Consider the following 14,646-nt stretch of genomic DNA (forward strand, 5'->3'; position numbering starts at 1 on the left):
GAACTAATGAAGAAGCAGAAAGAAATACTTAAATATAATAATGTCATGGTTATAAATGTCTTTAAAAATAAATAAGGTTCTATAAAATTCAACTAGTTAGATTACATTTCTATTTCTGAAACATCAAAATAAAGGCAGGAGTTTTCCTCGTTTCCTAAAAAAGTCACCGTCAAGTAGCAAAAATAAGAACCAGAAGCAATTATAATTGTAAAAATGATAAATTCATTAAACAAATATTTATTACGTCACTATATGGTACACATTTTGTTTGAAGTACCCTGACATAAGTACAAAGACAAGTAAACTAAACATAATTTTTGTTCACGTGGAATTTACAGTCTACTGAGAGATTTAAATGTACTAATATGTTCTACTGCTTTATCTTTAAATAATGAGAGAATTTGAGAAATGAGAAGAAATAACTAATTATGATAGGTGAAAATTAGTTAATGTTACTTCTAGTTTGATTGTGACAAAATAAATACATGTGACAATGTTGATTTGGAGATGATTAAAATATAAACTAACATTTTTCCTAATTATTGTCACTTTCTTATTATGTGGAATGAATATTTTCCAGTCTAATTAACAAAATATGCTTTGTGTCACATATAAAACAAAAAAATGTATTGTTGTGATGCCAGTTCCTTTCAATAAAAAATATTTGGCACTATAAATATATAATAACAAAATGTATAAGTATTAAAGAAAATTGTTAAAATTTATTATTTTATTCTAAATTACATATATGGGAAAATATATTTATCACAAAATAGCTATTATGAGCCTACTATGCATAAAATCTCAATGTACTATTATATATTTTATGTCCAGGATTTTTACTTTTAAATAATCTCTATCAATTAAGAGAAAAAAGCAGTCTGCTTATTACTTAATAAAAAGTGAGATACTTTACTGTAACAACTCGTATAGTGATAAATATATTTAAAAGTGGATGAAATGCTATAGGAATCCAAGTCATAAAATTAAATTTATAGTTATAAAAGGTGAGATAGAAGGCAGGTGTTCTCCTTATCCTCTCCGCAAATCATTCTATGGCAAAACCCAGAAGCAGAAGCACAAACTCCAAGCCTTTGGATTTCAGAAAAAGTTTACAGAGCACCTTTCTTGAAAATAAGTGGTATATGCAATTCTACATGCCATATTTATCTTGGAGGAAGACATACATCTCTTCAAGGAGCATTCTACTGGTGAAACTCAAAAAGGAAAAAGGCTGCATTGAGAGACATAACACTCTGTATTCAGATGTAAAACTCCAATTATTCTGGTTAGCCTCTCATATAGCTCCGGCCCCATTCCAGTCCTGTGAATCACTTAAAAATGGCTGATCTAGGGGAAACTCATGTTACCAAATCCAAGTGAAATTTTTTAAATGACCATTGTATGCGTATCCAAGGATATTTAAAGAAAAAAAAGTTGAACACAGAGAAGAGAACACGGAAAAACAAACAGTAAATTAGGAGTATTCACTAGAAAAATATTGCCACAAAAACAGATAAAAAGACTGATTAACTGTATTGCCACTAATGAACAGTATTAATGAAGAAATCTTCTATATAGATCAAGAGCACAATGTCACAATACAAGAGTTTAGAAATAACAAGTCAAGACCTAAGATGTGATCAGCTTTGTTTACTCTTCTACATTTCTTGAGAAGAAAGTACCCTATTCGTATTAGGGTGTTAATTTCAAAAATATCTGTGAAATCTACTGTATTGTTTATATTATACAGGTCTAGATCTTTATTATTTTTTATATACTTGACTTGACTTGAACTGAGAGTGATATATTTGAATATTTTACCATTCCAGTTTATCTGTAAATTTTATTTTGCATCTCATGTAGTTCCTGCCTTATGATGGATATTTGTTATAGTATTTGGTATGCAGGTATTTAAAACTTCTATATCTTCATGGTAAATTGTAAACCTTCACATCATGAGTGTCCTACCTACCTACTTTTCAAGTTGAATTTTTCACTTTAGTACTCCTTAACCCTATGTGTCTGCCATACCAAATATCTTACAGTTTCATTAATGAGTCATTCATTGTATCTCTCTCTGTCTCAGTGGAACACGCTACCCCAATTAATTAGTTTACCTGGCACTTCAACAAGACTTCTCTGAAGGTTATGCTCTTTCCTTTTACTCACTAGACCATATAAATATCTCTGTTATAGTATTAAAAATATAAGGCTAACTATTATTTTCCATTTATGTCCTCTTCTAGACTATAAACTTTTTAAAAATAATTGCTTTGTGGATTTATCTCTGTGCCCTCAGGGCCTGCAGTGTAGCCAACACTCAATGGGTGTTTATGATTTTAGGCAGTGTGATGAGATTAAAGCTATATTCCAGGCATCAGTTAAGGTTATAAGAAAAAATATTTAGTTCTATGCAGAACAGCATTCAAGGTAAAGCTCTGGGCAAAATGTCATAGCCACAGCCAGATAGGCTGGACGGATGAAGAGAAAAGAAAAACATATGACCTGGCACAATTTTTGGTGAAAAAAAAGTAGAGTTTAAGAGGAAAGATGGCTCACATAAATGTGGCATATAAATACACAGAAGGCCACCTCAGATACTGGAATCTGGACAAGTATAGCAGGCAGAGTTCTGAGAAGATACTAAGACCCTTGGTTCCTGATATATACATGCCTTCCTCTAATTATTCAAACCAAATCTATGTGCTTCTGTGAAGGAATTTTGCAGTGTAGTTAGATCCTAGATCAGCTGACTTTAATAAAGTTGAGGCAGTGAGTCTGATCTATTTACGTGAGCCATTAAAGGGGAGGAGGCTCTTCTTAACCAAAGAAATTTAAAGTATGAGAGGGACTCAATAAGAGCAACTGTTTATTGCTGGCTTCAAAGGTGGAGGGAAACATGCCAAAAGATTGAAAGTGGCCTCTTCCAGCTGAGATAAGCTTTGACTGACAACCAGCAAGAGAGCCAGCATTAGTCCTAAAACCACAAGAACTGAATTCTCCAGCATGAATGCGCTTGAAATAGGACCCTAGGCTCCAGATATAAACACATCCAGCTGAAACCTTGATCTGGTATGTTCTTGACACATGGGTTATATTATGCTTAAAGTTCTCACCTACAGAACTGTCAGCTATTAAGTGGCAGACTTAAGGTAACTTAAACTTAAGGTATTAAGTTTGTGGTAATACATTGTGTAGCAATGGAAAACTAATATGATAAGTAACTAATTGTATGCCCCAACCCCTTACTAATGAATGTAGTCAGAATTGTGTCAAAAGCCATGGGTGGGACTTAGCATCTAGCTTGAAAATCTTTGCCATATACTTCTAGACCACATTTAGGAGGGCAAGAGTGACGTTAGCAAGCCTTCTAGAGACTGGGTTCACCTCTCTGAAACTCAGTCCCCACAGTGGAATATAACTTTCTACTGCGGGAATGCTTGCTGCCTCCTGTGACCTGCAACCAGAAAGCAATCTACTCAGATGGCTTTCAGATCCTACTCTACCATTTAATTGTTGAATTACCTTGGACAATATATTGAACTTAACTAAGCCTCTGTTTCCTCATCTATAAAATGGGGATTGGAGTAACCATTTTATAAGTTTATCGTGAGGATCAAATGAGATAACATCCTTAAGCTTTTAGCACATTTTTGAGAATATAGTAAACACTCATACATATTAGTATTAATTCACTATCTCAGACAAATTTCTTTCCTTCTCTAATGTTCTTCCCTGGCCTAAAAAAACCACATATGCATGTATAACGGGTATAACGGCCAAGAATAAATACCCATATGTTCAGGATATAATACACAAAATGTTGTAAATAATGTCTCTTTGTAAATGTTAGAATATACATGCAAATAAAGACTTATCTGACTTCAACAGCAGGTGGATTTACATAAGCAACACACAGTTAAATAGCTGGGACCATGTCCATTTTACCAATACATTTTATAATATGCTGTCTACATTTTAATTGTAACACCTGCTCCTGATTCTGAAAGAAAAAAAGTTTATTTATCCTTTAAGTAGGTTAGGTGAATAAATATTGCCATGTTTTAACCCATCATATATTATATAATTATTTCTTATTCCTAGCAAAATATTTTCATTTTGAGTTCCAATAGTAAAAATTATCTCAAAAATTCTATCAAGCACTCTATGGATTCATGGTTAGTCTGTCTGAAGATATTAAAATGAAAAATCACTGCCCTGACTTGAAACTTAGGAGATACCAGAGTAAGAGAGACTGAATATAAAGCTACTGTAATAAATACTAACAGGAATAAGGAGGTGAAATAAGGAAATGTGAGCTGAAAGGAAAGGGAGATACTGATGTGGAAAGGAGATACTATTGCTGATATAAAACAAAAGCATCTGGAAACTGACCAGTTGTGGAGAATGAAGAAGAATGAAGAGAGAAAATGTTTCTTTTTCATTTCTTAGTTCATAAACAATGAGTAAGCAAACCCTGTCAAGCCTATGTCCACAATTCTGAAATCAGAGATATAAAAAAAAAAATCACATTCCTTTTAAGTTAGACAAACCTGAGTTTGAGTCTCAGTTCTACCATTTATTATTTTTTATAATTATTATTATCATTATTAGGTATTGTTCTGTCACCCAGGCTGGAGTGCAGTGGCACAATTACAGCTCACTGCAGCCTCTACCTCCTGGGCACCAGTGATCCACCAGCCTCAGCCTCCCAAATAGCTGGGACTATAGGCATCCACCATCATGCCCAGCTAATTTATTTAATTTTTTGTGGAGACAGAGAATCCCTATGTTGCCCAGGCTGGTCTCAAACTCCTGGACTCAAATAATCCTCCTGCCTCAGCCTCCCAAAGTACTGGGATTACAAGCATGAGACACCATGCCTGTCCAGTTCTTCCATTTATAATCACCATGACTGTTGGCAAACATCTTAATTTCCTTGAGATTTGATCTTGTTGATGGTAAAATAGTGATGGTAAATGTCTTTGCTTATCTGTATCACTCAACTCTCTTGAAACTCAAACGAATGTGTGCAAAAGTCTCCTTAAGTTTTCTAAGATGATGATGTCATTGACTATGGTAGCTATCAGAGGTAGCAAAGCAGATTTCTGTCAGGCTCTGAGGAAGATAGGGAGTTCAGACTATGGCATGTTATAGATGAGAAAGCAGCAGGATATGCAAGTGTAAATTTCAAAATAGATATATGGAGATATCTCTGGAACTTAGGAAAACAGTGAGGGCTAAACAAAAATAAACAAAAATACAAAAACAAAATTGATTTAAGAATCATCTCTGTAGTACTGATGGTTGAAACTGTGGGAGTATATCAGATGGTCAAAGAAGTTTAAAGATTTTACCATAGTATGAAAGAAGAGAATAGTCACAACTACAGAGTTAAGCTGTGCATACAAAAGATGATTAGGATGCATTCTTTGCCTTTAAGGAGCTTATATTTTAAAGGCAGAATCACACCTGAGTACATAAAATTTTAATTCAATACAGGTACTAATAGAGTATAGAAGCCTCATTTCTGAAGTTCCTTAAAGGCAAGAGAGGTCATCAGGAAAGCTACATGTCTGATGCTTGGGAAACTGAGGAGATTTGAATGAAATGAAAATGAAAAGAATATTGCGTTTCATACTTTGTTGACTCAAGTGGATTTTCGTCTTATTTGGTTTAAATTAGTAAAATGTTTCTGATATTTGCCAATCAATTCTCTCTCTGACAGGCAGCCACACAAAAAAGTGATCTTTTCTTTGTGTCCAAAAATATAAATCTGGCTCCGGATTTGTATCTTGGCCCCTTGCATTTGTTTAAACAGAATACTTTAATGACTGTCTTCCAACACCAAGCTCATAATTTGAGTTCACCATTCCATGACCATATTCTTTCATCTAACCTGTTAGAAGGGTAGGCCTTGTGGGTACAGCCATGAACTGCAAAATCTAGATAGAAAGGAAAATAAATACGACAGGAAGATTTTTGAACACTTGACCCTCTAACATGGCACTTTATAATATAGAGAGTAGTATTTACTTTTTAAAACAAATCATTCAAACCTTCTTTATAGTATGCATTCCACAACAATGTCTGTGAATTTCTATTTTGCTGTGCCCTCTACTATATGAAGAAACATCATTGTTGAAACTGTTGCTGATTTCTTAAAGAACACATTAAATACTAGAATTCTATTATGTCTTTAACACGTTTATTAATTATTGAGTTCAAATATATTTTCATATATTTATTTAAATTTTCTCTTTTGTCATTATCTACTTGCATCCTTTGATGATACCTCAAATTATTAGGTATTATTTTACCTCTGACCCTCTCTCATCTATCTCCTTGCCTCCCTCTTTTTCTCTCTCTCTCTCTCTTTCTATCCTTTCTCTTCATATTCTTTTCTTATACTTTCCTTTAAACATTGGTTTCATAATAATAATCAAAAAACATAACTACAGTAGTAGTAGTAGAGTGAAAACATATACCACAAACAGGAAAATTTAGAAACTTTCTTCCCCCAAGCTAACCTTTCAGAAGTCACACACAGATTTGCCAAGCCCCAAGAATGGATTACTCACCCCTATTAAAGATTACTTTTGAAGAATACTCATTCTGGGAAACCATAAAACAATGAATAATGACTCAGAACTATAATTCTATTTGTGCAGATGACTCAACTGGCTTATTGAAATTTTCTTACTTCCTGGACTCTTTTATATAAAGAGCTGAGTATTTTAGAATCCCAGACTACTATATATGTGTGTGTGCTTGTATATATATATATATATATATATATATACAAGCACACACACAAATGCAAGATATATATATATATACATATATATATATGCCAGGAATCAAGATTCTAAAGGAAATGGTAGAAGGGAGAACATGCAGAAAATGACAGAGGAAGCAGTTATTAAATTTTCCACCAATAATTCCCAGAAAGTGGTATGCAAATCCTCAGGTCTTGTCTCCAAAAAAACTTAATCCTAACCCTGAAATCTGTGTTCAACATGTCCTCCAGAAGATGTTGATGCTTGCTCAAGTATAAGGGCTGTCGGTTTTGAGGACCATGTGATGACATGCCTACCCTGCCACCAAAATATTATTTACAGGTTACTCCAGTTTTGTCTTGGATCCCTTCACATTGCAGTTAGTTCATGCTCACCACTGTGACTATGACACCTTCCGAGGGTGGGAATACAACTAAACAAGATTTTCAAAACAACACTTCTGCTGGAAACTCAACTAAGTTTTAAGATTCACATTGGGCTTCCTGAGTCTGATCAGGCATTGGAACTTTAAAAGAAGGGAAGGACTTTTTTTTCTTACCTCCACATCATTATCCACAGTCCCTCCCAGACAGATTCTCAGAGACCATTCACTCATGCATTCATTTGTGTGTTCATTCATGCTTGTGCTTTGTGCCTGGGCACACGCCTGCCACTGGGATACAGAAGTTAACCAACAGATATGGGCCACGACTGCACAGAAGTTAGATAAATGTCTTTTAAAATGTCTTAAAAAGATGATTGATGTGCATTATAAAGTCCCATGGTATTTAATTTTAAACTCTGATTACAAAAGTATAGGAAACTATGAAAGAAAGAGGATATAATTTAAAATTCATAAAAAATTTTCCCAAAGAAATGACAATATAGGAAAATATCAAGGTCTTCCTTGTCCAAATGTTTGTCCATCCCCTCAGGGAATAATAGGACACTCAGCTGGGAAAATTGCGTGTGGTAGTGAAAGGAGGGGCCAGCTGGGCTTCCTGGGTCGAGTAAGGGCTCAGAAATCTGTGAAACTCATTCATTTCCTGCATCAGGACTTACTTCGGTCCTGGATGAATAATATCGAAGATATGTGCTTAAAATATTCCTAACACCAGGATTTGTGCATGTGTTTTCTTCCCCAAGAGAGCTACAAAGAGCGAAAATTTTGCTGTAAGCTTCCCTGTGTCCTCTCTCCCTCTCTCCCTTCCTTCTCCCCGAAAACTAAAAGGAATGTTAAAAGCCCATTTTTCTGTGACCAGTGGACCTTATCTATGCTCCTAATTCCAATTCCTTGTAAACATCCTTTGTAAAGTCCTGTAAGATCCTGTCTCCTTTGCCATGCTGCTGTTAAGGTCATAAAGTAGATAAAACCTAAGTTGCAATTCCTGTTTTCCTCAAGATCTAAAACGAGTCACAAATGGTTAATTGTCTTTGTTTCTCGCTCTGGTAACATCTTCCCCCTGCAGGTATTTCCCACCTTAAAGAGTTTAAAAGGAAACTGCATAATCTAACCCTTGCTACCTGCTGGGGACCCCTTCCATGCTGTGGAAGCTTTGTACTGTCACTCTGTTCAATAAAGCCTACAGCTTTTTTTCTCTTGGTCTGTGTCTCCATCACTCACCGCAGGCAGCTGCCACACCAATTCTTTGGCGTGGCTAAGGCAAGAACCTTTGGCGTTACAGTAGGAAGAAAAGAAATTATTTTCTTCCTCTTCCTTTGAGATAAAATAAATATGTGGGGAAAAGTGCACTACCACAGTATTTATTCTTTTTATCTATCCTGATTACTTTCAGGATTATGATGATAAAAAAATGTGCTAGCCCATCAATTTAAAATGAAATACTGAATATGTATTAAATCAACCAACTTACATAAAGGTGAAGATATAGACTGGGTTTTCAACTGAGTGGTTGTACAGCACTTCTTACCTGCAGATATGATATGCAACCTTATTTTCATCAAATAAGAAGTGGGGCAGGGTGTCAGGCCTCTGAGCCCAAGCCAAGCCACCAGCATCCCCTGTGACTTGCACGTATATCCCCAGATGGCCTGATGTAACTGAAGAATCACAAAAGAAGTGAACATGCCCTGCCCCACCTTAACTGATGACATTCCACCACAAAAGAAGTGTAAATGGCCGGTCCTTGCCTTAAGTGATGACATTACCTTGTGAAAGTCCTTTTCCTAGCTCATCCTGGCTCAAAAAGCACCCCCACTGAGCACCTTGCGACCCCCACTCCTGCCCGCCAGAGAACAAACCCCCTTTGACTGTAATTTTCCTTTACCTACCTAAATCCTATAAAACGGCCCCACCCTTATCTCCCTTCGCTGACTCTCTTTTCGGACTCAGCCTGCCTGCACCCAGGTGAAATAAACAGCCATGTTGCTCACACAAAGCCTGTTTGGTGGTCTCTTCACACGGACGCACATGAAATTTGGTGCCATGACTCGGATCGGGGGACCTCCCTTGGGAGATCAATCCCCTGTACTCCTGTTCTTTGCTCCATGAGAAAGATCCACCTATGACCTCAGGTCCTCAGATCGACCAGCCCAAGGAACATCTCACCAATTTTAAATCAGGTAAGCGGCCTCTTCTTACTCTCTTCTCCCACCTCTCTCACTGTCCCTCAACCACTTTCTCCTTTCCACTCTTCAATCTCTCCCTTCTCTTAATTTCAATTCCTTTCATTTTCTGGGAGAGACAAAGGAGACACGTTTTATCCATGGACCCAAAACTCCGGCGCCGGTCATGGACTGGGAAGGCAGCCTTCCCTTGGTGTTTAATCATTGCAGGGACGCCTCTCTGATTATACACCCACGTTTCAAGGGTGTCAGACCATGCAGAGACGCCTGCCTTGGTCCTTCACCCTTAGCGGCAAGTCCCGCTTTTCTGGGGAAGGGGCAAGTACCTCAACCCCTTCTCTCCTTGTCTCTACCCCTTCTCTGCTTTTCTGGGAGAGGGGCAAGTACCCCTCAACCCCTTCTCCTTCACCCTTAGCGGCAAGTCCCACTTTTCTACAGGGCAAGAACCCCCAATCCCTTATTTCCACGCCCCAACCTCTTATCTCTGTGCCCCAATCCCTTATTTCCAAGCCCCAACCTCTTATCTCTGTGCCCCAATCCCTTATTTCCAAGCCCCAACCTCTTATCTCTGTGCCCCAATCCCTTATTTCCACACCCCAACCTCTTATCTCTGCACCCCAATCCCTTATTTCCATGCCCCAACCTCTTATCTCTGTGCCCCAATCCCTTATTTCCGCACCCCAACCTCTTATCTCTGCACCCCAACCCTTTCCCACTTTTCTGGAAGGTGAGAACCCCCGAACCCCTTCCCTCCGTTTCTCTACTCCCTCTTTTCTCTAGGCTTCCTTCCTTCACTATGGGCAACCTTCCACCCTCCATTCCTCCTTCTACTCCCTTGGCCTGTGTTCTCAAAAACTTAAAACCTCTTCAACTCACACCTGACCTAAAACCTAAATGCCTTATTTTCTTCTGCAATGCCGCTTGACCCCAATACAAACTTGACAGTAGTTCCAAATAGCCAGAAAATGGCACTTTGAATTTTTCCATCCTGCAAAATCTAAATAATTCTTGTCATAAAATAGGCAAACGGTCTGAGGTGCCCGACGTCCAGGCATCCTTTTATACATCAGTCCCTTCCTAGTCTCTGTGCCCAGTGCAACTCATCCCAAATCTTCCTTCTTTCCCACCCACCTGTCCCCTCAATACCAACCCCAAGCGTCGCTGAGTCTTTCTAATCTTCCTTTTCTACAGACCCATCTGACCCCTCCCTTCCTCCCCAGGCTGCTCCTCGCCAGGCTGAGCTAGGTCCCAATTCTTCCTCAGCCTCTGCTCCTCCATCCTTTTTATCACCTCCCCTCCTCACACCTGGTCCGGCTTACAGTTTCCTTCCGTGACTAGCCCTCCCCCTCCTGCCCAGCAATTTACTCTTAAAAAAGTGGCTAGAGCTAAAGGCATAGTCAAGGTTAATGCTCCTTTTTCTTTATCCCAAATCAGATAGCGTTTAGGGTCTTTTTCATCAAATATAAAAATCCAGCCCAGTTCATGACTTGTTTGGCAACAACCCTGAGACATTTCACAGCCCTAGACCCTAAAAGGTCAAAAGGCCATCTTATTCTCAAAATATATTTTATTACCCAATCTGCTCCCGACATTAAATAAAACTCCAAAAATTAAATTCCAGCCCTCAAACCCCACAACAGGATTTAATTAACCTCGCCTTCAAGGTGTACAATAATAGAAAAAAGTTGCAATTCCTTGCCTCCACTGTGAGACAAACCCCAGCCACATCTCCAGCACACAAGAAGTTCCAAAAGCCTGAACTGCAGCAGCCAGGCGTTCCTCCAGAACCTCCTCCCACAGGAGCTTGCTACATGTGCCGGAAATCTGGCCACTGGGCCAAGGAATGCCCGCAGCCCGGGATTCCTCCTAAGCCGCATCCCATCTGTGTGGGACCCCACTGAAAATCGGACTGTTCAACTCATCTGGCAGCCACTCCCAGAGCCCCTGGAACTCTGGCCCAAGGCTCTCTGACTGACTCCTTCCCAGATCTTCTTGGCTTAGCGGCTGAAGACTGACACTGTCCGATCGCCTCGGAACCCCCCAGACCATCACGGACACCGAGCTTCGGGTAACTCTCACAGTGGAAGGTAAGCCCGTCCCCTTCTTAATCAATACGGAGGCTACCCACTCCACGTTACCTTCTTTTCAAGGGCCTGTTTCCCTTGCCTCCATAACTATTGTAGGTATTGACGGCCAGGCTTCTAAACCTCCTAAAACTCCCCAACTCTGGTGCCAAATTAGACAATACTCTTTTAAGCACTCCTTTTTAGTTATCCCCAACTGCGCAGCTCCCTTATTAGGGTGAGACACTGTAACTAAATTATCTGCTTCCCTGACTATTCCTGGACTACAGCTATATCCCATTGCTGCCCTTCTTCCCAATCCAAAGCCTCCTTTGCGTCCTCCTCTTGTATCCCCCCCACCTTAACCCACAAGTATAAGATACCTCTACTCCCTCCTTGGCAACCAATCATGCACCCCTTACCATCTCATTAAAACCTAATCACCCTTACCCCACTAAACACCAATATTGCATCCCACAGCACGCTTTAAAAAGATTTAAGCGTTATCACTCGCCTGCTACAGCATGGCCTTTTAAAGCCTATAAACTCTCCTTACAATTCCCCCATTTTACCTGTCCGAAAACCAGACAAGCCTTACAAGTTAGTTCAGGATCTGCGCCTTATCAACCAAATTGTTTTGCCTATCCACCCCATGGTGCCAAGCCCATATACTCTCCTATCCTCAATACCTGCCTCTACAACCCATTATTCTGTTCTAGATCTCAAACATGCTTTCTTTACTATTCCTTTGCACCCGTCATCCCAGCCTCTCTTCGCTTTCACTTGGACTGACCCTGACACCCATCAAGCTCAGCAAATTACCTAGGCTGTACTGCCGCAAAGCTTCACAGACAGCCCCCATTACTTCAATCAAGCCCAAATTTCTTCCTCATCTGTTACCTATCGCAGCATAATTCTCATAAAAACACACGTGCTCTCCCTGCCGATCGTGTCCAACTAATCTCTCAAACCCCAACCCCTTCTACAAAACAACAACTCCTTTCCTTCCTGGGCATGGTTAGATACTTTCGCCTTTGGATACCTGGTTTTGCCATCCTAACAAAACCATTATATAAACTCACAAAAGGAAACCTAGCTGACCCCATAGATCCTAAATCCTTTCCCCACTCCTCTTTCCGTTCCTTGAAGACAGCTTTAGAAACTGCTCCCACTCTAGCTCTCCCTGACTCATCCCAACCCTTTTCATTACACACAGCCGAAGTGCAGGACTGTGCAGTCGGAATTCTTACACAAGGACCAGGATCGCGTCCTGTAGCCTTTTTGTCCAAACAACTTGACCTTACTGTTTTAGCCTAGCCCTCATGTCTGCATGCAGCGGCTGCCACTGCTTTAATACTTTTAGAGGCCCTCAAAATCACAAACTATGCTCAACTCACTCTCTACAGTTCTCACAACTTCCAAAATCTATTTTCTTCCTCATACCTGACGCATACACTTTCTGCTTCCCGGCTCCTTCAGCTGTACTCACTCTTTGTTGAGTCTCCCACAATTACCGTTGTCCCTGGCCCAGACTTCAATCCGGCCTCCCACATTATTCCTGATACCACACCTGACCCCCATGACTGTATCTCTCTGATCCACCCAACATTCACCCCATTTCCCCAAATTTCCTTCTTTCCTGTTCCTCACCCTGATCACTCTTGATTTATTGATGGTGGTTCCACCAGGCCTAATCGTCACACACCAGCAAAGGCAGGCTATGCTATAGTACAAGCCACTAGCCCACCTCTTAGAACCTCTCATTTCCTTTCTATCGTGGAAATCTATCCTATCCTCAAGGAAATAACTTCTCAGTGTTCCATCTGCTATCCTACTACTCCTCAGGGATTATTCAGGCCCCCTCCCTTCCCTACACATCAAGCTCGAGGATTTGCCCCCACCCAGGACTGGCAAATTAGCTTTACTCAACATGCCCGAGTCAGGAAACTAAAATACCTCTTAGTCTAAGTAGACACTCACTGAATAAGTAAAGGCCTTTCCTACAGGGTCTGAGAAGGCCACCGCAGTCATTTCTTCCCTTCTGTCAGACATAATTCCTCAGTTTAGCCTTCCCACCTCAATACAGTCTGATAACAGATGAGCCTTTATTAGTCAAATCAGCCAAGCAGTTTTTCAGGCTCTTAGTATTCAGTGAAACCTTTATATCCCTTATGGTCCTCCGTCTTCAAGAAAAGTAGAATGGACTAAAGGTCTTTTAAAAACACACCTCACCAAGCTCAGCCACCAACTTAAAAAGGACTGGACAATACTTTTACCACTTTCGCTTCTCAGAATTCAGGCCTGTCCTCGGAATGCTACAGGGTACAGCCCATTTAAGCTCCTGTATAGACGCTCCTTTCTATTAGGCCCCAGTCCCATTCCAGACACCAGACCAACTTAGACTGTGCCCCCCCGAAAAAAAAAAAAACTTGTCATCCCTACTATTTTCTGTCCAGTCATACTCCTGTTCACCATTCTCAACTACTCATACATGCCCTGCTCTTGTTTACACTGCCGGTTTACACTGTTTTTCCAAGCCATCACAGCTGATATCTCCTGGTGCTATCCCCAAACTGCCACTCTAAACTCTTGAAGTAAATAAATAATCTTTGCTGGCAGGACTATGCCGAATCTCCTTAAGCACTCTCTAATCAGATATCCTGAGTTGTCCCAATTCTTAGATCTTTTATACCTGTTTTTCTCCTTCTGTTATTCCATTTAGTTTTTCAATTCATACAAAACCATATCCAGGCCATCACCAATCATTCTATATGACAAATGTTTCTCCTAACATCCCCACAATATCACCCCGTACCACAAGACCTCCCTTCAGCTTAATCTCTCCAACTCTAGGTTCCCACGCCGCCCCTAATCCCGCTTGAAGCAGCTCTGAGAAACATTGCCCATTCTCTCTCCATACCACCCCCTAAAAATTTTCGCCGCCCCAACACTTCAACACTATTTTGTTTTATTTTTCTTATTAGTATAAGAAGGCAGGAATGTCAGGCCTCTGAGCCCAAGCCAAGCCATCGCATCCCCTGTGACTTGCACGTATACGCCCAGATGGCCTGAAGTAACTGAAGAATCAGAAAAGAAGTGAATATGCCCTGCCCCACCTTAACTGATGACATTCCACCATAAAAGAAGTGTAAATGGCCGGTTCTTGCCTTAAGTGATGACATTACCTTGTGAAAGTCCTTTTCCTAGCTCATCCT

The 14,646-nt window shown here is 39.9% G+C and overlaps 1 long non-coding RNA gene across 1 annotated transcript in view, besides 2 other annotated features; it reads right to left on the reverse strand.

Annotated features, from left to right (window-relative positions):
* The window catches only part of LOC105378031 (uncharacterized), a 181,459-nt gene that overhangs the window by 157,933 nt on the left and 8,880 nt on the right, over positions 1–14,646 (reverse strand). The gene's annotated exons all lie outside the window — the stretch shown is intronic.
* Positions 7,425–8,089: an enhancer, noted in NCBI's record as "OCT4-NANOG-H3K27ac hESC enhancer chr6:142335462-142336126 (GRCh37/hg19 assembly coordinates)". NCBI's record gives its function as "activates a minimal SCP1, AML or CMV promoter by ChIP-STARR-seq in naive H9 embryonic stem cells {active_cell/tissue: H9 hESC(naive)}" and the evidence as "EXISTENCE:reporter gene assay evidence [ECO:0000049][PMID:30033119]".
* Positions 8,090–8,753: an enhancer, noted in NCBI's record as "OCT4-NANOG-H3K27ac hESC enhancer chr6:142336127-142336790 (GRCh37/hg19 assembly coordinates)". NCBI's record gives its function as "activates a minimal SCP1, AML or CMV promoter by ChIP-STARR-seq in naive and primed H9 embryonic stem cells {active_cell/tissue: H9 hESC(naive and primed)}" and the evidence as "EXISTENCE:reporter gene assay evidence [ECO:0000049][PMID:30033119]".

The sequence above is a fragment of the Homo sapiens genome, chromosome 6 (assembly GCF_000001405.40).
Source record: "Homo sapiens chromosome 6, GRCh38.p14 Primary Assembly".
Lineage (NCBI taxonomy): Eukaryota > Metazoa > Chordata > Mammalia > Primates > Hominidae > Homo > Homo sapiens.